The 25,585-nt window shown below is 40.9% G+C and overlaps 1 protein-coding gene and 1 pseudogene across 3 annotated transcripts in view, besides 2 other annotated features; one reads left to right on the top strand and one right to left on the bottom strand.

The window, feature by feature from the left end:
* The window catches only part of EFCAB11 (EF-hand calcium binding domain 11), a 160,109-nt gene that overhangs the window by 59,851 nt on the left and 74,673 nt on the right, over positions 1-25,585 (top strand). The window lies entirely within an intron of this gene.
* Positions 1,565-2,120: an enhancer, noted in NCBI's record as "H3K27ac-H3K4me1 hESC enhancer chr14:90359151-90359706 (GRCh37/hg19 assembly coordinates)". NCBI's record gives its function as "activates a minimal SCP1, AML or CMV promoter by ChIP-STARR-seq in naive H9 embryonic stem cells {active_cell/tissue: H9 hESC(naive)}" and the evidence as "EXISTENCE:reporter gene assay evidence [ECO:0000049][PMID:30033119]".
* On the bottom strand, positions 1,817-3,143 carry RAB42P1 (RAB42, member RAS oncogene family, pseudogene 1; annotated as a pseudogene).
* Positions 12,768-12,887: a silencer, noted in NCBI's record as "silent region_6003". NCBI's record gives its function as "represses an Ori minimal core promoter by ATAC-STARR-seq in GM12878 lymphoblastoid cells {active_cell/tissue: GM12878}" and the evidence as "EXISTENCE:reporter gene assay evidence [ECO:0000049][PMID:35858748]".

The following is a 25,585-nucleotide window of genomic DNA, read 5'->3' as shown; positions in this document are numbered from 1 at the left end:
TTTTTCTTCTTTTGTTGGATTTCTTCCTACATATTTTATCGTTTTTGTTGCTATTGTAAATAGTAGCTTTTGAAAATTATGTTTTTTAAATTACTTGTAGAAACAATAGAAATGAAATTGCTTTTTGTATGTTAATCTTCTAGCTAACAACCTTGTTAACTTTGTAGATTTTTAAGGATCCACAAAGATAATGACATCAGTGGAAAATAGTAATTATTTCTTCCGTTCCAATCCTTATATCATTTATTTCTTTTTGCTGACATATGCACTGGCTAGGACTTACAGGGGTGATAGTGTCTTGTTCTGAAACTCAAAGGGAAAGATTTCAATATTTTATCACTTAATTTGATCATAGCCGTAGGGGTTAGATCCTTTCTCAGATTAAAGAATTTCTTATCTGGTCTAGTTTATCATGAGTTTTTTAAAAATCAAGAATTGATGAGAACACATGGACACAGGGAGGGGAACATCACATACTGGGGGCCTGTCGGGGGCGGAGGTGGGGGGGACAACTGGAGGCAGAGCATTAGGACAAATACCTAATGCATGTGGGGCTTAAAACCTAGATGACAGGTTGATAGGTGCAGCAAACCACCATGGCACTTGTATACCTATGTAACAAACCTGCACGTTCCGCACATGTATCCCAGAACTTAAATTAAAAAAAAAAAAATCAAGGCTGGGTGCGGTGGCTCACGCCTGTAATCCCAGCACTTTGGGAGGCTGAGGCGGGTGGATCACGAGGTCAGGAGATCGAGACCGTTCTGGCTAACACGGTGAAACCCCATCTCTACTAAAAATACGAAAAATAAGCCGGGGGCGTGATGGCGGGCACAGGAGAATGGCGTGAACCCGGGAGGCGGAGCTTGCAGTGAGCCGAGATCGCGCCACTGCACTCCAGCCTGGGCGACAGAGAGAGACTCCGTCTCAAAAAAAGAAAAAAAAAATCAAGAATTGGCATTAAATTTCACTATATGCTTTTTCTGTATCTATTGAGATGTTATTTTTTGAAATTCATTAATATGATGAATAACATGTCTGTGTATATGTATGTATAGTTTTAATATCAATTCATCTTTTATATTTTTGATATAAACCCAAGTTTACTATCCTATTATCTTTTTTTTTGTTTGTTTGTTTTTTTTTTTTGGAGACGAGTGTGCAGATGTTTATTAGGGGATATTCTTGAAATGGATACCTGTTTGGGGAAGAAAAGGAAGCAGGATTGGGCAGGGGGATAACTTGGCTATGATGTCACAACAGTGTCCTCAATGAAGCCCACAGAGACTGATAAAGTTGGGTTTGACTTTCAGAGTTGTCCAGAGCTGGGGCAAGAGGGAAAGGCCTTTAAGGCCCCCCAGGAGATGGACTTTGGATACGGGCTGCCCTGAAGGGAGGGCCTTTCCCAGAGAGTGGGGCAAGCTGAAGTCCATCATCCAGCGGCACTTCAGCAGCTGGGGAGAGGGTTGATGGGTTCCCCAGCCAGAAAGGGGGATCTTGGTGGCTCATCACAGTGGCCACTGTGTGCCCAACATAGTTGCTGCACATTCGTGTTCATCCCAGCCTCCAACATCCATTTTTCAGCCCCTGGGCCTAGGGTGGGGGCAAACCCAGCAACCCTGGGTTTGACATCACATATTAATCCCATTCCCAGAATCATTTTAGCCTGAGGACATAAGGAGCCTCCAAGCCAAGCTCCCCTTGGAATTTCCCGCACCTGCCTTTGCTCATGCAGCAGCTTCCTGACGCTGGCTTCTCAGTGTCTGAGCCCAGGAATGCTGCCAGAGTGGGCACATCACAGCCAAGAAAAAGGGAGTGGGAATGAGAGCTTTTGTCATTCAGTTCACAGCGCGGCAGGCTCTGGGTGAGCACATCCTGTCCACTATCTCATTCGTGGTCACCACCTCCCTGCAAGGTGGGATCTTTTATGAGCCCCATCGATAGATAAGGACACTGAGGCTCAAGGACAGGAAGTTGCACATCTGGGCTCTCAGGCCTTTCTTTTCTTTTCTTTTCTTTTTTTTTGAAACAGAGTCTCACTCTGTTGCCCAGGCTGGAGTGCAGTGGCACAGTCTTGGCTCACTGCAATCTCTGCCTCCTGGGTTCAAGCGATTCTCCTGCCTTAGCCTCCGGAGTAACTGGGATTACAGGCATGCACCACCACGCCTGGCTAATTTTTGTATTTTTAGTAGAGACGGGGTTTCACCATGTTGGCCAGGCTGGTCTCGAACTCCTGACCTCAGGTGATCCGCTGTCCTTGGCCTCCGAAAATGCTAGGATTACAGGCGTGAGCCACCATGCCTGGCCATCAGACCTTTCTTTTCTGTAGAAACCCTTGACTCTAAAATCCAGGAAGCATGACTGTGTCAGGATACTGTTTATATGAACCCTTCTGTCATTTGTCCTCCAGAGAGATACTAACATTCCCCATCCCACCAGGTGGGCTAAGGCTGGGACTGCTTTAACCCTTTCTCTCCTAGAGTCAACACTGGCATGGGCCTGGGTGCTGCTTCCTGCTGGGGGACCTGGGGATTTGGGTCTTGTGGATGAGCCGGACACCCCCCAAGCCCTCTTCTAGCTTGATGTCCCCCTGCTGCAGGGCCTGCTGGATAGCATCAGTGAGGGCGTCAAAGGCCAGGTCCACATTGCAGTTGTTTTTAACAGAGGTCTCCACGAAGGCCATGCCCAGGGAGGCAGCTAGCTCCTCGGCCTCCTGGGCTGAGACACAGCGGGTGCTCTGCAGGTCACTCTTGTGGCCAACCAGCAGGAAGATGACCTTGTCCGGGCCCTGAGTGGCCATGACCTCCTGGTGCCAGTCTTGGATGTGTTCAAAGGACTTCCTGTTTGTCACATCAAAGACCAGCAGGACACCCACCACATTCCGGTAAAAGGACCCGGTGATGCAGCTGAAGCGCTCGTGGCCCGCGGTGTCCCAGAGCTGCAGCTTGACCCGCGGCCCAGCCCGCAGCTGCAGCGCGCGGCGGTAGCACTCGGCGCCCACCGTGGGCTCGGGCTTGGGCTGTGGGGCGCCAGGCGCGCCCGCCACGTAGCTCCGCAGCAGCGACGTCTTGCCCACCGCCGCGTCCCCCAGCAGCGCGACCCGAAATTGGTAGCGGCAGCCCTCGGCCTCCATGGCCGCGTCCCTATCCTATTATCTTTTTAATGCACAGTAGGATTCAGTTTGCTAATATTTTACTTAGGGTGGTGTGTGCGTGTGCGCGTGCGTGTGTGTGTGTGTGTTTGTGTCTAAAATGGAGCTGTAATTTTCCTTTCTTGTTTTGTTTCATTTCAAGCTTATACTGGCCTCATACAGTGAATTAGGGAGAATTCCCTCTTTTTATATTTGGTACAGATTTTGCTATTTTAATATAAATAAAATATTGCCTTGGAAATTTTATAACTTTAATTATAAACATAATCAGAAACCTCTTGCTTCTGACAATACATTGTTTTCTGCTACTTTGAAAAACTCTGATTTCTACCATAATATCTCAAACTCTTAAGTAATTTTAATGAATTAAAAGTACAAAGGTATTAAAAGGTTATAAACATTTATTAAAATCCTCTGTTACATCTTATAGTTTTCTATTCCCTGAAGTCACTTCAAGTTATTTATTTTTAAACATAGAACCTCTAGTTGAAGTCTATTTATGTCTGCTTCTGCTGGTTCTTGCTCATGGTGACTAGTTTCCCTGTAAACTTGTTTGTATTCAACTTTCTGGAGCTCACCGACCTTGAAAAATAATTTATGAGGAATTCCACAAGTCCAGGATGAAATCAGAGTGGTTTATGTGTTTTTGCCAGGCTCCTTGTAGCACAGTCAGTACAGGACTATATTAAAACAAATCCACAGATGGAAGTTTCTGTATTCACTCAAGGTATGTTTAGACCTAGGATCCCAGGGACTCTCCCAGTGAGGGTCAGTCAACACTCATAACTTCTCAGGGGTGAATGATCGTTTTTTATTTCATTTTTCTCTTACTCCTTTGCTCAGCACCAGGGAAACTTTCATGTAGTCCTTTGGATTTCAGCTTAATGTGGGAAAGTTATCCTGTGAGATGATCCAAATTGGCAAAGTCCTGGATCTTCACTTCTGGCCTCGTCTCCCCATGAGGCTACCAGACCGCAGCCCCAGTGCACGATGTGAGTGAATGCCTTCAGGGCAAAGGTGGCTTTGGGATGCCAACTTTCTTTCCACTAACCTCTTTGGGTTCAAGCTAGCCTCAAGAATTTGGCCTGGCAGCTCTTTTTAATTTTTCAGTCCTTTTAAGGTGGTTTTGTTTTAGTGTCTTATCCAGCATCTTTAGTTTTTTGCAGTGGGGAGTTGATCTGAGTATCCAAAAACAGAAACTCATGTGAATTCTTAAATACTTTGTCTCCCAAACTTTTCCTTCTAAATTCTGCTTTCCAAATATTGATTTATTAGGTAGACAATAAGAATTATTAAGTGTTAGAAAAGAGTATCACTTATTTGTAAGAGATATAGAAAATATATAAAATCAGTAATGCATTTCTAAAGCTTAGTAATTCTGGCATTTTAGCTTTACTTTATCTTCTATTGCTGTTTAAAGAATATGACCAAGTATTTCTGACCTTTTATTGCTCTTATATTGAATATCATTTAGAAGTTGTAAGCTAAATATTTATTTTCGTATAACCTAAAACCATAGTATTAGGAAATACTGATGTAATTTAGTGATCATGTCATTGAAGCTTAACATTTTTATTGCATTCATTATTTATGAGAAGAAATCATGCAGTGTTTCTGTTTTTATCAAGGTATTATATCTAAAAATCACTTTTCTTGAACTTGAACTCAATATTTATAAAAGTGCATTTTATAGTACTTATACCTACGACAAAATAATTGATTAACTGTGTCCAAGTGTGTTGATGGGTCCCCAAGGGCCAACGCTAGATTTGATGATTCACTAGAAGGACTTCCAAGACTCAGCCTACAGTCGTATTCATGGCTATGATTTATTACAGTGAAAGGATTCAATGCAAAACCAGCACACGGGAAGGGTACATGGGGTGAAGTCCAGGGGAAACCAGATGCCAGTTTCCCATTGTTCCCCTCCAGTGGAGTCACAGAGAACACAATTCCCCAATAGTAAGCTGTGACCAAACATGTGAAATGTGCCAACCAGGGAAGCTCAGTAGAGACTCAGTGCCCAGGGTTTAATTGTGGGCTGATCACACTGGCATTCTCTGTCTGGCATGTGCCAAAATTTCAGACTCGCAGAAGGAAAGCAAGTATTCAGTGGGAGCCATGTTGTCTGCACAAACAGTTTTAAGCACAGTGATCAACTCTTACCAGTTAATGGTGGTAGGAACCTTCCTGAAATCCAAGTTCCCAGATGCCAGTCAAGGGCCAGGCTTGTAAGCAGAATTGCAGTCAGGTCTGCTGTCTTAACTTTTTTCTACATGTGGAGGTGTGGCTGAAGTTTTTTAAGCACTTACCATTTGGCAAGCACTGTTCTAAGCCCTTTACTCGTTTCATCCTCACAATCACCATTTCATAGATGGGGAACTGAGGGATAGAGAAGTTAAAAAATTTGTCTCATATTTCACAGCTAATAAGTAGTAAAACAGGATTCATAGTAAGGCTTCGAATCCATGATTTTATCCAATACTTTATTTGGGTTTTTTTGAAAATTACTTTCATTTTGTCTCACCTCATGAATAAGATGTTCCATACATTTCCTTAAAATGGTGATTAAAATAAATTGTCAAAAAAAGGAAGAAATTGTCTTCATACAGCCCCTTTTAATCTTCAGTGTTGTTTCATGGCTCTTAATTTTCAGATTTGAAAAATCATTCTAATTATCATGCAAACCCTTCCTGATCTCATAGGCTTTTCTCTGCCTCTGTGTTTCTTCTGGGTTGGAGAATTTGAATTGTTTTTTCCATTTGTCTGGTCCTTGACCACTAATTTACTGCCATGGTTCTTTCTGTATTTCCCTTTTGGTATTTTCTGAAATTTAGCAATTAGAACTGCAAACAGAGACAGTATCACAGCGCCATGGTTTTATAAACAAAGACAGGACAGCTGTCTTAGTCCATTTGGGCTGCTATAATAAAAATACCATAAACTGGGTGGCTTATAAACAACAGAAATTTTTTTCTGACACTTCTGTAGGCCGGGAAGTCCAAGAGCAAGGAGCTGGCAAATCTGGAGTCTGGGGAGGGCCCACTTTCTGGTTCACAGATGGTACCTTCTAAATGTGTCCTTGATATAGTTTGGACATTTGTTCCCACCCAAATCTCATGTTGAACTGTAATCCCCAATGCTGGAGGTGGGGCCTGGTGGGAGGTGTCTGGATCATGGGGACAGATCCCTCAAGGCTTGGTGCTGTCTTCATGTTAGTGAGTTCTTGTGAGATTTGGCCATTTAAAAGTGTGTAGCACTTCCCCTGCTCCAACTCTTGTTCCTGCTCTGGCCATGTGACATGCCTGCTCCTGCTTTACCTTCTGCCATGATTGTAGGCTTCCCCAGAAGCCAAGCAGATGCCAACGCCATGCTTCCTGTAAAGCCTGCAGAACCATAAGCCATCTAAACCTTGTCTTTATAAATTATCTAAGCTCAGATATTTCTTTATAGCAATGCAAGAACAGCCTACTACAGTCTTCATATGGTGAAAGGAGAGAACTCTAGTCTCTTCAGCCCCTTATAAGGGCACCAATCCCATTCATGGGGGTTCAGCCTTTATGACCTAATTACCTTCCAAAGGCCCCACCTCCAGCCATCACATTGGTGATTAGGTTTTAACATATGCATTTGGGGCAGGCACAAATATTCAGACCATAGCAACAGCATTTTCTGTTTTATTTCCTTCTTTGTAATTCTCATCATTGTATTGGCCGTATTATCTACCTCAGTATGTTGAACAGTGACTTAAGGGCATGGCCTTTAAATGCTGCTAGAGGGCCATCTGGGATATAGCTGATAACTAAGAGCTTGCCTCTCTACAAGTATACTTTAGATTATTTTTTTAGAATTGAAATGAGAAGATTCACTATTTGCTATATCCATTTCCAAGAAAATATATTATAGCTTCAAGAAAAATGCGAGTGTTAACACGTGCTGAAATATGATACAGATGTTTAATGTCTTACTGTAATATTATTTTACTGTTCATAGTCACCTGCTTTTTTGATCCCTGCCTAAGTTTGCTTTCTTTATTCCATAACACCTGTTCCCAGGAATATATTTACAGTCTGTTGTCTTTTCTAAATGGTTGGTACATATGTAAGAAAAAGGTTGACTTTTACTGGTTTCTTTCAGTAAATACCTTAAGGATTCCTTGTTATTTATTTTCAGTGTTACTTTATTTCAATTTAATACCTTAGTACTGTTTTTACTTAAATACCACATAAGGAGTCATGCTATATGACCTAGGCATGACACTTACTTAAATGTTTATGGATAGAAAACAAATTATTTCTAGTTTTACTTTTTAAAAAGAATTCCAAAACTTCAAACTACACATGATAAATGGCCCTGTGTTTCCATAGGCTTAGAAAGCTTATGTCTAATTTATTACTCCTATGTGATCATGTGTATCTAGTTGTTTGCTACCTTCTATTTCAGATCTTTGCATTTGTAGTTCCCTGTTTAAATATCACATCATCAGAGAGGCCTTTCCTATCCAAAGTGACTTCACTCCATCTCCCATCCCCAGTAAATCTCTGCTGCCTGGTTTTATGTCATTCATAGCAGTTAGCAAATCTCAGGGAAGATTTTTGTTTTTGTTTCCTTATTGTCTATCTGTCAGGCTTGACTATAAAGCTTCATGAGAGCAGTGATGTTGTCTGTTCTTGAATACCTCTGGATGTTCAGGTTAGTTCAGAGCACTTGTTGAATAAATTAATGAATTTATTAAAGACTATAAAAACAATCTGTTTATATTAGTATGGTATTTGATCTTTGTTAATTCAAATCTATAAGATTTTCTGTGGATTATTTAGGATGTGAAGAAGGTATCCAGACTGACCTTAGGTTTAGGTTATAATAATTAGCTAACTAAAAAGTTAACAATGGATATATTTAATCTCTAAGCCTGATTAAATTTTCTGACTCTTTGGGCTGTCTCTGAGAATTGTGTATCTGCTGTAAATTACCAAAACTGCAATAAATCAGGAGTCTTTCCAAATATCGAGATACTAAATACATACTTTGATCTCTTTGTGTCCATTAGAAATATTTTAAACATAGAAAAGTATGGAGAATAATATGGTGTAACACTTGCATTTCAGCCACTTCCCTTTATCTTGTCTTAATATTTGTCATATTTGCCTCAGTGTTTGATCAAAAACCAGTCTTGATATTTTTAAGATATACTTAAATCAGTAGATCTTGAGTAAAGCAGATCACTTTCCTTTTTTTTTTTTTTTTTTTTTTTTTTTGAGACGGAGTTTCGCTCTGTTGCTCAGGCTGGAGTGCAGTGGCGCGATCTCAGCTCACTGCAAGCTCCGCCCCCAGGGTTCATGCCATTCTCCTGCCTCAGCCTCCCGAATAGCTGGGACTACAGGCACCCGCCACCACGCCCGGCTCATTTCTTTGTATTTTTAGTAGAGACGGGGTTTCACAGAGTTGGCCAGGATGGTCTTGATCTCCTGACCTCGTGATCCACCAGCCTTGGCCTCCCAAAGTGCTGGGATTACAGGCATGAGCCACCACGCCTGACCGAGCAGATCACTTTCTATAAGGTGAGAGGGCCTCATCTAATCAGTTGAATGCCTTAAGAGAAAACATGTAGGTCCCCCAGGGAAGAAGCAGTTCTGCCCACAGGCTGCCTTCAGATTTGAGGCTGCAACATTAACTCTTCCCTTGACTCTCTGTTATGTTGCATTGGTCTGTTTGTCTATCTTTGTGCCAGTATCACACTCTCTTTATTATATAACTTTGTAATCTTGATGTCTGGCAGTGTAAGTCCTAGAGCTTTGTGTTTTCTTCAGAATTATCTTGGCTATTTTTAGCCCATTGTGTTTTAAAATAAATTTTAGAGTCAGTTTTTCAATTTCCACCAAAGAAAAAAAAAGAAAAAAACAAGAAGCCAACTTCAAACCCAAAAGTTGCTGTCTTCTTTCTTTCTCTTTCCTTCTTTCTTTCTTTTAGTTGCTGTCTTCTTTCTTTCTTTCTCTCTTTCTTTCTTTCTTTCTTTCCTTTCTTTCCTTTCTTTCTCTCTCTCTCTCTTTCTCTCTCTCTTTCTTTCTCTCTTTCTCTCTCTTTCTCTCTTTTTTTTTTTCAACAGAGTCTTGCTCTGTCACCCAGGCTGGAGTGCAGTGGTGCGATCTCAGCTCACTGCAACCTCCACCTCCCAGGTTCAAGCGATTCTTCTGCCCCAGCCTCCAAGTAGCTGGGACTACAGGCGCACGCTACCACGCCTGGCTAATTTTCTGTATTTTTAGTAGAGATGGGGTTTCACCATGTTAGCCAGGATGGTCTCGATCTCCTGATCTCGTAATCCACCTGCCTCAGACTTCCAAAGTGCTGGGATTACAGGCTTGAGCCACCACGCCCGCTGGCTGGGTTTTTAATTGAATTTATATTGAATCTTTAGACTAGATCAATTTGGGGAGAACTGACAATGCCAAAATGTTTTAAGTCTTCCAGTGCATGAATAAAGTATATCCTTTTGTTTTTAAAGGTCTTATTTAACTTTCCTTGCTGTTTTGTAGTTTTAATGTAAAAGTTTTACACATATTTTATCAGATAATTCTGAAATATTTGGTTTTTATGTAGTTATATAGATTTTTAAATTTTATTTTCTACTTATTTAGATATACAATTGTTTTTTATATGCTGGTCTTACACCAGCAGCATGACTGAATGTCTTAGTCTAGTCCGTCTGTTGTAACAGAATACCATAGACTGGGTGGCTTAAACAACAGAAATTTATTTTCTCACAGTTCTTAAGACTGCGAAGTCTGCAATCAGATGCCAGCATGGTCTGGTTCTGGTGAGGAGGCTCTTCCTGGCTTGCAGATGGCTGCCTGCCTGGCTGTGTGCTTCTGGGTCCTTTCCTGGACATGTGCACAGAGTGGGGGATCTCTTGCTCTTCTTATAAGAGCACTAATCCCTTATGATGGTCCCACTCTCATGACCTAATTACTTCCCAAAGACACCACCTCCAAATACTGTCACATTGTGGGTGAGGGATTCGACACAGAATTTAGAGCAGGAGTGGGCACACACATTCAGTACATAATACAAAGTTAACTTATTCTAGTACTTCGTCTTAGTAATTGTAATAGTATATATTTTATGTTTTCTAGGCATGCAATCAAGTCATCTTCAAACAATAGTAGTTTTATTTCTTCTTTTCCAATTCTTATGTCATTGATTTCTTTTTCTTTTCTTACTATATCAGCTAGGGTCTCCCACATAGTGATAAATAAAAGTTATGTGAGCAGGTATCCTGTTTCTTCCCCATCTTGGTGGGGGGAGGGGAAAACTTTAGTATTTCACATTAACTATGGAATATGCAATAGGTTTTTGGGTTTTGTTATGTTTTTAGGGGATAAATAACCTTTATTAGATTAAGGGAGCTCCTGCTTTGCTAAGAAATTTTATCATGAATAAATACTGACTTTTATTAAATGCTTTTTCTGCTCATGTTGCCATAATCATATTTTTCTCCTTTACCCTGTTAATGTGATGATGATATGCAGTAGACCAATAGTAAAAATAGAACTATTGTACCATTAGTAAATGTGAGGCTTAGAGGATATACAATTGTATAATTTTTTTTTGTTAAGGGCATTTAAAAATTACTGTTTTCTTATTATTTTTTAGAGACAGAGTCTCCCTGTGTTGCCCAGGTTGGAGTGCAGTGGTGAGAGCATGGCTCACTATAGCCTCAAACTCCTGGGCTCAAGCAATCTTCCCACCTCCGCCTCTGGAGTAGCTGGGACTATGGGCATGTGCTACTATGCCCAGCTAGTTTTTTAAAACTTTTTTGGAGATGAGGTCTCACTCTGTTGCCCAGGCTAGTCTTGAACTCCTGGCCTCAAGCAGTCTCCCACCTCCATCTCTTGAGTAGCTGGATTACAGATGTAAGCCACTGTACCTGACTATATGGACATTATTTGTAGTAGATTCCACAATGCTGTTAAATTTGTCTATATCTAACAGGTACTTGGGAAGAATAATTAAATGAACAGAGAAGTGGTTTAGAAGTGACAGGTGACTTGGCATTTGTGTCCAAATAAAAAGTAAATGTACATTTGGCCCTCTATATCAGCAAGTTCCATGTCTGTGGATTCAACCAACTGAGGACAGAAAATATTTTTTTTAAGTTACATCTACGCTGAACATATACAGACTTTTTTCTTTGTCATTATTTCCTAAACAATATTGTATAACAACTGTTTACATGCCATTTACAATGTATTAGGCATTATGAATAATCTGGAGATGATTTAAAGTATACAAGAGGATGTGCTTAGGTTATATGCAAATACTACAATATTTTATAGTAAAGACTTAAGCATCTATGAATTTTAGTGTTCATGGGAGGTCCTGGAACCAGTCCTTCATGGATACCAAGCGATGACTATATTTATATATTCAGTCACCTTTTGACAAAGCTTAATGGCAGTATTTCTTTTGTGAGTCTGAACAAATTTTCAAGAAACTACAAAACATTCCTCTAATATCAATTTCTTTTATTCAAAGATGTACTAGAATATTATTATGTTAAGATAACTATCTTAGTCCATTTGTGTTGCTTTAAAGGAATACCTGAAGCTGGATAATTTATAATGTAAAAGGGTTATTTGGCTAAAAATTCTGATGGCTGGAGAGTTCAAGATTGGGCGTTTTGCATCTGGTGAGGCCTCAGATTTCTTCCACTCTTGGTGGAAGGCAAAGGGGAGCTGGCATGTGCAGAGATCACACGGCAAGAGAGGAAGCAAAAGAAAGAGTGGGGAGGCGCCCGGCTCTTCTTAACAACCAGCTCTGGTGGGAACTAATAGAGTAAGAACTCACTCACCCTCAACCCCAAGAGAGCACATTCATCTGTTCATGAGGACCCACTTTTCCACCCCCAGGACCCAAACACCTCCCATTGGGCCCCACTTTTAACACTGGGAATCAAATTTCAGCTGGAGGTCTGAGGGGACAAACATCCAAACCATAGCGGTAGCTGTAGGACTTTTTAGCTCTGCCTTCTTTAAATTGTATATTATATGTAACTGAGCCACAGACTGAGAGGTGGGTAGAACATTCACCAGGCCTTTTCTTGTTCCTAAGAACAGTGAAAATTCAAAGAAGGTACACTCTGTAGGAAATCGGTATTTCCCATCATTGCTTATATAAATCTTAAGCAACCTTATTTTAAGGTGAGTAGATGAGTGAATGGATAGAGAGAGAAAAAAAAGAGAGAGAGTGAGAGAAGTCATAGAAACTTGCTGTAGGTTTTTCACCTGGATGAAATGAAACATCACAGATGGTTTCTCACAGATGATCTCTTGGCTTCCTTTTGTAGGAGTTTCTCCCAGGGCAGTGCATTCTTTGTCCATGGTGGGGAAAGAGTCAAAGTCACTATATCAAAATGATCAGTATTCTATAACATATTTGAATTTAGACCATCTCAACATATGCCGCACATACATTTCCCATTGTGCTTCACCCTTAACAGAAACAAATAATAAGACAAGGTAGTATTTGAACCTCTCAATGAAGAGTTTATAATGCATTGAATAAAGTCTTCACAGATACCAATATTTTATTCGTCCCTCTGGCACCCAGGAAGTTTTTCAACACTCAGGCAATGCATGATTGTAAGATTCATGTTAGGTAAGAAATGTGCCTTTCTTTTGTAAAGTAGAAAAAAGGTGTTTGAAAGGGGAAGTGGGATTAGAAAACCAGTATAGCTCCACACAGGTGCTCTTGAGCAAACCAGTTTTTGGAAGCATTATAAATAGAAGTCAAAGTTCTGTTAATTGATTATAGTAATACTACATTGCTTATGTAACCCTAAGCATACATGCTCCTATGTTTAATGCTACTGATCTTGGTTGTAGACCCAGGTTTGAAATTATTTTTGTTCAAGTGCATGCACACTGTCAACTTCATACCTTTACTCTTTAATGAAGGAAAATTTAAGACAAGTAAAATTTAGAACAGATTTTGTATAGTTGGTAGTAGAATTTGAAAATATATTAGTTCCAGGCCAGGCACAGTGGCTCATGCCTGTAATCCCAGCACTTTGTGAGGCCAAGGTGGGTAGATCACCTGAGGTCAGGAGTTTGAGACCAGCCTGGCCAACATGGTGAAACCCCGCCTCTACTAAAAATACAAAAATTAGCCAGGTGTGGTGGTGAATGTCTGTAATCCCAGCCACTCAGGAGGCTGAGGCAGGAGAATCACTTGAACCTGGGAGGCAGAGTTTGCAGTGAGCCGAGATTATACCACTGCACTCCAGCCTGGGTGACAAAGAAAAAAAAAAAGAATATATATATATATGCCAAGTCATAAAGTAGACCAAAAATATAAGTAGCTCTAAAAATAGTTTAGATAAAAATTTTATTGATGGGTAGAGAGTGGATTTTGGAGAAACTGAGATTTTTGTGTATCTCTAAATATGGGGGTTGATGAAGAGCTCAGTTATTCAGCCTTTTACTTCTTTTAACAAGGACTTATTGAGGCAACTGTTACTTGCTTACATTGAGCTAGGCAGTTGGGGATATGGTGTGAAGTAGACAATTTTGTTCTGTAACATTAAATGGCAAAACAGTATCAAGTAAACTAAACCAATGATAACAACCATATAATCACCAGTTGTTCTAAATGCAAAATAAATAAATAAATAAATAAATAGGGTAATAAGAATGCAGAGTAATTGGGATAGTCACTTCAGGGTGCCTGCAGAGACCACAGGAGAGGGTGACGTGTGTTTGTGATTTCTGTGGTACCACCCATCAGTGGACCTGATGGACCATGGTTCTGACTTCTATCCTTTCCCCATTTTATAGATGGGGAAGATGAGATGCAGAAGCACAGTAACTTTCCATGTGCATGTAGGCATCTATGTAAGTGGTTAAGTGAGAATTCAAACCCAGGTGGTATGACTCCAGAGTTAGTATTTTTAACCACTGTGCTGTACTGTCCCACAAGTAATATTAGTTTAATTTTAGTGAAATAACCAAGATAAGTACCAAGCAGACTAACCCCAAAGTCCGCTCTTAACAGCTACACTAACTGCCTCTCAAGAGGTCGTAGAGCTTATAGACTGACACAGCTGGTGTGTTTTTATCATTTTTTTTCTGTGAAGTAATTAGTATTTATTTTTTCTATTTTATTTCGATTTCATTATTTTTCAACTAATTATAAAACACCTTCAAAAGAAAAGAAAAACGGAAGTGAAGTCTCAGTTTAGGATCAATTTGAAATATTCTTAAGACTCTTTTAATATGACATCAGTTAACTTGAGCACCTTCATCTGCCTATGCAGTCCAGTATTCAGGAGAATGCAGTTCGTCTTAGTCCCTTTGAGCTGCTATAACAAAACTTCATAGACTGGGTAGCTTATAAACAAAAGAATTTTATTTCTCACACTTCTGGAGGCTGGGAAGTCCAAGATCAGGGCACTCACTGGCAAATTCAGTGTCTGGTTAGGGCCTGTTCCCTGGTTCATGGAATGGTGTGTCACATGGTGGAAAGGAACAAGGGAGTGCTCTGGGGCCTCTTGGGCACCAATCCCATTCATGAAGGCTCTTCCCTGTGACCTACTCTTATGAAGGCCCCACCTTCTAATACCATCACATTGGTTATTAGGTTTCAACATATGAATTTTAGGGAGACACAAATGTTCAGAACATAGCCGAGTCATACAGTAAATACTAAGAAAGGTATACTCACAACATTTAGAATAAATGGAAACTGAAAAACTATTAATAGGCCAAATCTTAAAAGAGGATATACCAATGCTGACATGCGTACCCACACATATATTTGGCATTTTTGATAGAACAGGTTTGTTCTGGAGAGTTTATACGTAATGAATTTTGCTAAAAGTTTTCTGTAACATCCCTGTGTTGTAATAGGGGAAGAAGCATCACTTTTCTCTTTTTATAATTAGAAAATGCAGGCTTATAAGGTTATACTCAGAGTGGGTCAAGCTGAATATTGGGTAATCTTGAATCATAAACCATCCATACCCTCGTTTAAAAATTATTGTCTCCATGAATAATAATAGGAACAAGAGTCTATATGAGCCCAGCAGTGCAAATTAGCCTACAAATTAACTTGGTTTGGCAAAAGTAAAGTATGCTCTTAGTCTTCTTCAAAAATACTTATTCAGACATATGTAAAAGAAAATTATGGTATATATTTGTAAGTAATTGAAGTGTTTGGGAGTTTTTCTGTTTGTTTGGTCCTTGATTTTTTTTTTGGAGGGGTGGCATGTTTATGTTTTTTTTTGTGTAGCTTACCATAGCCAGATAAATTAAATGCATTGTAAGTCACTGAAAAATAGAACAAATTTAAATTGAATAAGGAATATGGTTTTATAGGATTATAGCATAGTTAATAATATCACTAACATAAAGAAGAAGTGTCAGGAAAAGAACAATAACACAGGCTATGATGCTGAAAGGAACCAACATCTAGAATAGCAAAAGTGATAAAAGGAAAATAATAGGAAATGAACTGAATTTCATAAAAGGTGTCTTTCTAATGCCTTTAAATATAAAAGAAGGAAGTAGGATCGAGTACACTAAAAAGAAAAATAGTCATATGATGTAAGAGTTTGTCCACCAGAGCTTAACAAAAACAGTGGAGAACAGAAAAAAAAATGGGCTAAATATTGAATACAATAGCAGTTTAGTAATGATCAGAGGACAGGGAGATGGGGGGATCATGTCTCGGCAAAAGAAAGGTCAAAACAAGGCAGAAAGTACATTTTGGGTTAATTCAAACAAGGTAAAGTAATAGAAGAAAATAATACCAAGTAGACATTGTTTTAAGATAATGAAATGTATAGCCTAATGTTATGCACATTGCTTAGCAACAAGCAATTAAAAAAAAGAATGAAAAAGGAACTATGGAAAAGAAGAGACATGTGTCTTGTAAAGTGGTCAGATACAAGATGAAAATGAGAAGAGCCAAGAAAGAAAATGAATTTAGACCTCAAAGAAGTTTGAGATAAATGACCCACATTTGTTATTGTCTCTTAGGTCAGTTTTTTAAAAAAGTTAGATACTGAATTATAATAATCATTAAAATAACTGCTCAAAGTAGAGATATTGATTGCTATGTAAAATGTACTCCATATTCTTTATATATAAAGCTGTGAAGATATATTTAGACATTCATATAATTGAATATTTTGAGAAAATATATTTTAATACAGTATGATAAAACAAATCTATAAAAATGATTTAAATGTGATTTAGAAGGGCATTTGGAGATGATTTTCATCTTTTATTTTCTTGTTTTGGATATGGATTGTTGCTTTATACATCTCTAATACTTTATTGTAAATATTTAAATAGTGGGTAGCATCTGACCTGTTTGTAAAGTTCAGAAGTACCTTTATATAAATAATAGCTTCTAAAGGCCAGTAGACGCATTTAAAAATAAACAAGTAAATTAATTCATCCCATACCTGGCAGTTAAAATAGAATGCATTTCCATTATATGGCTTTAGATTTGACTTTGTAAAAACTAAAAGCAATACAAACCCCACATACCACACTACCACAGGGGTCATCTAATGAAAGGATTATTGTCTCAAAACATTGCTCAGATCATCTTTTAGTACGTCCCACCTGCAAGCTAGAATTTTTCTCCTAGTCATCTGTCTTTTGAAATCATAGAATCTCAAACCTTGTTTTTTCCCCTATCCATTTGAGAAAATGACCAACGTTCTGTAGCGTTGGAAGAAAGGTACAGATTTAATAACACACGTGGAAGCAATTGAACAAAAGTGGTAATAATCAGGCTTTTATTATTGAGTTTTGGGACTTACATGTCATTACTTATGATAAAGCTTCACAGTGCTTCTGCCAATCAGAGTTCTTACTGCTCAGTGTTTTGAGGTTGAGAGTGGTAAATTAAAGTGTGCAGTGCCTCTCAAAATAGTTATCCAATGTCTTAATATATGAAGGGGTGCCTTTTGAGATACTCTGATTTGTATTTAGGATTTACCCATTGCTAAAGCTGAGTGCTTTTAATTAAAACAGTAGATCCAAACAACTGCCAAACCCTTTCATGGAGTAAAATACCATATTTTAGTAAATCTGAGACACCATTGATTCTAGGGGCACCATCATATTATGTACCACTAATGACAGAAAAAGTTCTGCCTGTTAAACTGTGACACACTGCTAAGATACCAACAATTGCAAGATGCTTTGCAAATTTAGAAATTTTTAAATTGTGGAAAATGGTATTAGAGAAGCAAGGAAATAAGATCATGTGCACCTTCGCCACCTCGTTCTGAATTATCTTTAGATTTCTTATACCCAGTAGTAATCCTATCCAGTGTACTTTATTCTGCCCTTTTAGAACCTCTTCTTGGCCCCATTACCTGATTTCACTGCATGTAACCTTGACTTCACTCAAAAATACTTTTGGTTGGCCGGGTGCGGTGGTTCATGCCTGTAATCCTAGCACTTTGGGAGGCCGAGGCGGGCAGATCACAAAGTCAGGAGTTCAAGACCAGCCTGACCAACATGATGAAACCCCGTCTCTACTAAAAATACCAAAATTAGCCAGGTGTGGTGGCACACACCTATAATCCTAGCTACTCAGGAGGCTGAGGGAGGAGAATCGCTTGAACCCAGGAAGCAGAGGTTTCAGTGAGCTGAGATCACACCACTGCACTCTAGCCTGGGCGACACAGCCAAACTCCATCTCAAAAAAAAAAAAACTTTTGGTCATCTACTCTGGGAGTAGATAGTACTCTGACTATCTCAGTCAAACATGCCTCTCTGACCTATCCTAGCCTTACGAGAGGATGTAGACATCAATTGTGGATAGTCCGTGGGCTCATTCTTGCCTTGTAAGCAGGATGTAGGCATCAGTTCATGAAGATCTGGTCCTACAGCCGTTGTAGAGCTTCTTCATTCAGTGTTGGTTGGGCTTCTACCAGGAGCCTGGCATTGTGCAGGTGCTCCAAGTTACAACACTGAACAAGACATGTCCTGCAGGCAAGGACCTTGCAGTCTGGGAGAGCAGATGCATAAACGGGGATTGGAATTCACTTAACTTTAGCCATGACAGGCAGCGCTGCCAAGAGGTAAAGTTTCTCTTCAACTCTTCCTTGATTTACTTTCCCCCCTCTTTTTTCTTGTGACCCCAACTGAACCCTTCATAATATCAAACAAATGTAATCTGCCTTGCATTGCACAGAAGCCCATCAAGAATTCTCTACAAATGGACTATCTGAACCCATGCACATGTTGTTTTGTTTTTTACTTTTTTTAAAACACATCTTACATATATAATCATGTGCACATTTTGAATAGAAATTTCCCCCGTCCTAATCAGCTACCCAAATGGGAGTAGGAATAACTCATTGTAATGATGATGTTTGACCCTGTCTTGGAGATAGCATGACCAAGAGGCCCAGCACCCTCTGACCTTAGGATGTGATCTAAATACAGCCTCATCTGTTTAACGGAAACATCTCCTCCTCCTCCTCTTTTTCTCCCTCCTCCTCGACCACCACCACCACTGATGCTAGTAATAGAACCCATTCTGGGCCCTGCCTTCTCTCTAGCTCTAACTCAGCCAAGCTTCTGGGAAAAGTAGTCTGCTTGTTGTTTTCATTTCCCCACAGTCTCTACTTCTGAACTCAGTACAGTATGGCTGTCACTTCTACCAGCTCCACTGAAATAATTTTGCTGTGCTCACCAACAACCTCCCAGTTGCCAAATGTAACCTTCACCCTTCAGTCTTTGAACCCTTTTCAACATTCAAACTAATGACCTCCTTGAGATGCCCTTTTCCATTGGCATCTGACACTGCTCTCTTGGGTCGAGTCTGACCTTTAACAGCCAATGCTTCCACTCTCCCTTGGTGAATGGCACTCTGCCTGCATGCCCTTTCCAATTTTCTCTTCCTTACCAGTATACTTCTCTGGGATATTTCACTCACAGGCTCCACTCCCACATGGAGGACTCCCAGTTCCATTCCTTTAGCTCAGCTTGGTTTTCTCAGTGTCTCACCCCCATCTTCAACTCCTACTGAACGTCTTTCTCTGGGTATCCTCAATGACCCCTCAAACTCCACATATTCTAAATGGTTTATATTACCTTTAACCTGCTGATCCTTCTCCTTTTTTGTATAACTTTCTTTGGTTCATGATACCACCATTTACCCAGTTACCCATAACTGGAACCTCTAAATCAACCTCTTTTCTTGACCACTTATAACCAACTGGTCACCAAATTCTGTCTCGTCTACCACCCATATCTGTCTCCATTTTTTTCCACCTCAACATTCTTGACCCGTGCTATCTTAGTTGGCTGTAACAAAGTACCTCACAATTGTGTGGCTATATGGTTTGGCTGTGTCCCCACCCAAATCTCATCTTGAATTGTAGGTTCATAATTCACATGTGTCATGGGAGGGACCCAGTGGGAGGTAATGGAATCATGGGGGTGGGTTTTTCCAGTGCTGTTCTCATGATAGTAAGTCTCATGAGATCTGATGGTCTTTATAAAAGGGCAGTTCCCCTGCATGGCAGTTCTTAGTTGATGGAGTAATTTGTCTGTTTAATTCCGATAACGAACAAGACTGTGGCATGCTAACTAGTTACGCGAACCCCGAGCAGTCAGCATCCCCCAACTTCTTAGAGGGACAAGTGGCATTCAGCCACCTGAGATTGAGCAATAACAGGTCTGTGATGCCCTTAGATGTCCACGGCTGCATGTGCACTACACTGACTGGTGGCGTTCTGCCCCCATCCCAAAGATCTGTGGAACTTTGAACTTGAGAGAGATGATTTAGGGTATCTGGTGGAAGAAATTTCTAAGCAGCAAAGCATTCAAGAGGTGACTTGAGTACTTTTTTTTTTTTTTGAGACAGTTTCACTCTGTTGCCCAGGCTAGAGTGCAGTGGCGCAATCTTGGCTCACTGCAAGCTCCGCTTCCCAGATCCACGCCATTCTCTTGCCTCAGCCTCCCGAGTAGCTGGGACTACAGGGGCCTGCCACGGCGCCCGGCTAATTTTTTGTTAGTAGAGGCGGGGTTTCACCATGTTAGCCAGGATAGTCTCGATCTCCTGACCTCTTGATCCACCCACCTTGGCCTCCCAAAGTGCTGGGATTACAGGTGTGAGCCACCACGCCCAGCTGACTTGAGTACTCTTAAAAGCATTCCACTTTATTCATTCACAAAGATGTGGTTTGGAATTGGAACTTATATTTAAAAGGGAAGCAGAGCATAAAAAAATTGGAAATCTGCAGCATGACAGTGCAATAGAAAAGAAAAACCCATTTTCTGGGGAGAAATTCAAGCTGGTTGCAGAAATTTGCATAAATAACAAGGAGCCAAATGTTAATCACCAAGACAACGGGAAAAATGTTTTCAGGGCACGTCAGAGACCCTTATGCCAGCCCCTCCCATCGCAGGCCCAGAGGCCTAGGAGGAAAAAATGGTTTTGTGGGCTGGGCCCAGGACCTTGCTGCTTTGTGCAGTCTCAGGACTTGGTGCCCTGCATCCCATCTGTGGCTAAAAGGGGCCAATATACAGCTGAAACCATTGCTTCAGAGGGTGTAAGCCCCAAGCATTGGAGGCTTACATGTGGTGTTGGACCTGTGGGTACACAGAAGTCAAGAACTGAGGTTTGGGAACCTCTGCCTAGATTTCAGAGGATGTATGGAAACACCTGGATATCCAGGCAGAGGTGTGCTGCAGGGGTAGAGCCCTCATGGAGAACCTCTGCTAGGGCAATGCAGAAGGGAAATGTGGGGTTGGAGCCTCCACACAGAGTCCCCACTGGGACTAGTGGAGCTGTGAGAAGAGGGCCACCATCCTCCAGACCCCAGAATGATAGACCAACTGACAGCTTGGATCGTGTACCTGGAAAAGCCACAAACACTCAATGCCATCCTGTGAAAGCAGCCAGGAGGGGAGCTGTACCCTGCAAAGCCACAGGGGCAGAGCTTCCCAAGGCTGTAGAAACCCACCTCTTACATCAGCGTGTCCTGGATGTGAGACCTGGAGTCAAAGGAGATCATTTTGGAGTTTTAAGATTTGGCTGCCCCACTGGATTTAGGAGTTGCATGGGGCCTGTAGCCCCTTTGTTTTGGCCAATTTCTCCCATCTGGAATGAGTGTGTTTATCCAATGCCCGTACCCCCATTATATCTAGGAAGTAACTAACTTGCTTTTGATTTTACAGGCTCCTAGGCTGAAGGGACTTGCCTTATCTCAGATGAGACTTTGGACTGTGGACTTTTGAGTTAATGATGAAATTAGTTAAGACTTTGGGGGACTGCTGGGAAGGCATGTTTGGTTTTGAAATGTGAAGACATGAGATTTGGGAGGGGCCAGGGACAGAATGATATGGTTTGGCTGTGTCCCCACCCAAATCTCATCTTGAATTGTAGCTCCTATAATCCCCTCATATCATGGGAGTGAGCTGGTGGGAGGTAATTGAATTATGGGGGTGGGTTTTTCCCATATTGTTCTTGTGATAGTGAATAAGCCTCACGAGATCTGATGGTTTTATAAACGGGAGTTCCCCTGCACAAGTTCTCTTGCCTGCCGCCACGTAAGATGTGCCTTGCTCCTCCTTCACCTTCCACCATGATTACGAGGCCTCCCCAGCCATGTGGAACTGTGAGTCAATTAAACCTCCTTTATAAAGTACCCAGTCTCTGGTATGTCTTTATCTGTGACATAGACTAATACTAATACTAATACTAGTGTGAGAACAGACTAATACAGTGGCTTAAACAACAGCAAAATTTATTTTCTTACAGTTCTGGAGGTTAGAAATCTGAGAAAGCAACAGGGTTGGTCCCTTCTGAGCTCTTTCTCTTTGGCTTGCAGATGGCTACCTTCTCTCTGTATCTTCACATATTCTTCCCTGTGTGTGTGTGTGTGTGTGTCCTAATCTCTTCTTATAAGGATACGGTCATATTCTTCCACATGTGTGTGTGTCTGTGTGTGTGTGTGTGTGTCCTAATCTCTTCTCATAAGGATACAGTCATATTGGATTAGGGCCCACCTGCATGACTTCACTTAAATGTAATCACCTCTTTAACAACCCTATCTCTAATTACAGTCACATTCTAGGGTGCTGGGAGGTTAGGACTTCAGCATATGAGTTTTTGGGGGACACAATTCAGCCCGTACTACCTGCCTTCATTTTCTTATGAGCTTATTGCTCACTCTCCCACTTTGTTTCCATACCTCCAGTATCATCTACATTCTGACGTATCTTCCATATCACCGTCAGAGAGGTTATTCTGAATTCAAATAGCAGTGCAGTACTCTCCCTGCTTAAAGCCTTGGGTCAGTGGAGTATCTACCCAGACCCCTGCACAAGGCACTCTTTCCTACTTGCACTGTGCCCCACCCATGCGGAAGTATTTCAGCTTCCCTAAAGGCTTAGACCTGCACCTCTGTGCCTTTGCGCGTGTGGCTTTCTGGGTCTGAATGTTCTTAACCCTGCCTCCCTTTGTCTTATCAACTGAATTGTTTAAGACCCAACGTAGGTGGCCAGGAGGAAACATGGCAAATAGCAATAGAACAAATGGAGAGAAACTGTTGAATTATTATATGAGAAGGCATCTTGTTCATAAGAACACAAAGGAAAAGAATATGGTAATGTAAATTAGGCTGTTACAGACTTTTGTCATTCTGTGGAGCCCCTGAAACTTTCTTAAAGGGATGGATGATAAAATTTACATCTTCCTTTTCATCAGTTACTTAGTCATTAGTTCAGGGCCCATCTCTCCATATGTAATCACTGCCTAGCCTTCCCAAATCGGAGCCCCGTCATAGGGCTGCAGTGGGATCTGGAGAACCCACTGTCAGCAGTCTCTGTTCTTTAACCCTAGACACAGGAACAATGCAGCTCTTCCCCACCTTTTCTGAAAAATGAGTACAAATTGCAAGAAATGCAGCACAGATTGTACGATGTCAGTACATTAGCAGTGACATGGGAAATCTGATGGAGTCAGGGGGAAAAGGTGTAAATTGCAGGATAATATCAAGGGGAGGTCAGTATGTTAGTAATGCAGGGAATATGATGGACTTAAAGAAAAGGTATAAATTACTGGGTAATAGAAAGGAGAGGTCAGTACATTAGTAACATGGGAAAACTGGCAGATTTGGGAGGAAAAGGTGCAAATTATAGGATAATGCAAAGTAGGGGCATCACTGTAAAGATGCTTCATTTCCTGTTTATAAGGAGGAGTTGGGGAGGGACTTGCAGTGGATTCACAGATAATTGCCTAGAAAGTGCCCGGGTTGGTTGCTACCTCTCCTCCAGGCAGGAAGACTTCCTCACCAATGAGGTGGTCAGCCCCAGGTCCACCCATTGAAACAACTGTACAGAGATTCATCCTGGGTTGGCAGAAGGCTCTACCCTCTTTCAGATAATAGTTATATAGACAGATGCCTATATTGAGTGAGAATGTAGGGAAATTTATGATTTCCATAGGCAGAAACCAGAGAATCATTAGAAGTTTGTTTTGGGAGATGGATGGTAGGGCATGTAATACTTGTTAGGGAAGCATGGTGAGAGCTGAGCCATCTCAGTCCAGTCCCTCCTGCACTCTTGTCTGCCAACTTCAGACCCACATGGAGTTAAAGGTCTCAAAGATTTTCACAGGATTTAATCAAACTAAAAAATCCACATTTCAAGACCCATATTTGGAAGAAAAATATTTTGAAAAGCAAGAGAATGAGAAATGAAAAGTTCAGGAAAGTGATTACTTAAGAAGATGTGGCACAGGGCTCATATCAAGAAGGAACACAGCGGGAGCTATGTTTTGTTTTTGTTTTTGTTTTTGTTTTGAGACAAAATCTCACTCTGTTGACCATGCTGCAGTGCAGGGGCACGATCTTGGCTCACTGCAACCTCCACTTCCCGGGTTCAAGCGGTTCTCCTGCCTCAGCCTCCCCAGTAGCTAGACTACAGGCGCCCACCACCATGCCTGGCTAATTTTTTTTTTTTTTTTTTTTTTTTAGTAGAGATGAGGTGTCACCATATTGGCCAGGCTGGTCTTGAACTCCTAACCTTGTGATCCACCTACCTCAGCCTTCCAAAGTGCTGGGATTACAGGCATGAGCCACCGCTTCCAGCCAGCTATGGTAATCTTGTTAGTTTTCTAGTTCTGACATTGGGGGTGAGTTCACAAGTTTTGGTTTTATTATGCTTCATCATATACCTATTAGTCACATATGTTCTTTTGTATGTATTAACTATTACATAATACATTTTTGGGATCAGCTTAGGGACATTTATAACTGGAATTATTGAATTGCTATGAGTCATATAACATCTGTTGGATTCTTATATGGCTTTAGTAGAGTGGAGGGTAGTGTCTTCCCGTAAAAGCCCTGTAATATCAAACAAGAATGTCTGACAGGAAAATGGTCTATCTCCCCACCTTCCTGGGAGAAATACTGGAGATGTTCAAGGTTTTACCTTTCTTAGATAGTAGATAGATCATGAAATTATTGCAGACTAAGTGCTCTGGTATTTTCCTAATCTAAGATTATTTTAAAATTATTTTAGCTTAATGTCTAATTCTAGATACAGTTAATTTTCATCAGTTCTGAAAACAGATGCTAAACACCTATGTTTATAATGCTGAGGGGGCATTACCTGGGAATTTGAGACATTTGGGAAGATCTTCTATGTACTCTACCAACCTCACTGTTCTTGAGGAATGAAGAAGCCATCATATTTCCTTTTGTAATTCTGTCTTCCATCTGGTCAGGAGAAAGAAGGATTCTTCAAGCCTTTCTCAGGTGGCAAAACTCTAAGGAGAATCCTGTGCTTTTTGTGTCCCCTGTGAATGACTGCAGCTCCTTGCTGACAGCTTAGCCCAAAACAAGGCCTCTGGGGACTCACCAGCCCTTATCACACTTGCGAAGAGAGCTTGATGTGTGGTCTAGTTGTTGTTGGGAGTTAGGACACTAGATTCTTTGTGAGGTCTCTTAGGATGTTGTTGTCATAAATAATACTCTCTGAAGGTTTTTACCACCTACTGTAGACCAAATGCTTTCTGTGCTTTGCTTTATTTACTCTTCACAGCAACCCAAGGTAGCTGTTGTCACCATCCCCATCTTGTGCTGAGGAAGCAGGGCCTAGAAAGAGGCGAAGTCACTTTTTGTGGCCTCTTAGGCAGAGTGCACACTCGGTCCTGTGGATTCTATAGCTCATGCTTCTAACAGTGGCAGGTCTTTGTCATTTAATCCTTTAATTCTGGTAACATTACAGGAGTGTATAGAATTTTTTTTAACCTCATAGAAGTGAGAATGTCTTACAGTTGTGATCAGACATTATGTAATAAGGACAAGTGGGTCAAGCTCTGTGACCTCCAGGCAGGAGCCCCCAATACATTAGAGATTGCTGAGATTTGACTATCCCTTTTAAAGTGAATTCC

This window comes from Homo sapiens, chromosome 14 (assembly GCF_000001405.40).
Source record: "Homo sapiens chromosome 14, GRCh38.p14 Primary Assembly".
Taxonomy (NCBI): domain Eukaryota; kingdom Metazoa; phylum Chordata; class Mammalia; order Primates; family Hominidae; genus Homo; species Homo sapiens.
Note: the sequence above shows the minus strand (reverse complement) of the source record. Positions and strands in the feature narration are given on the sequence as shown.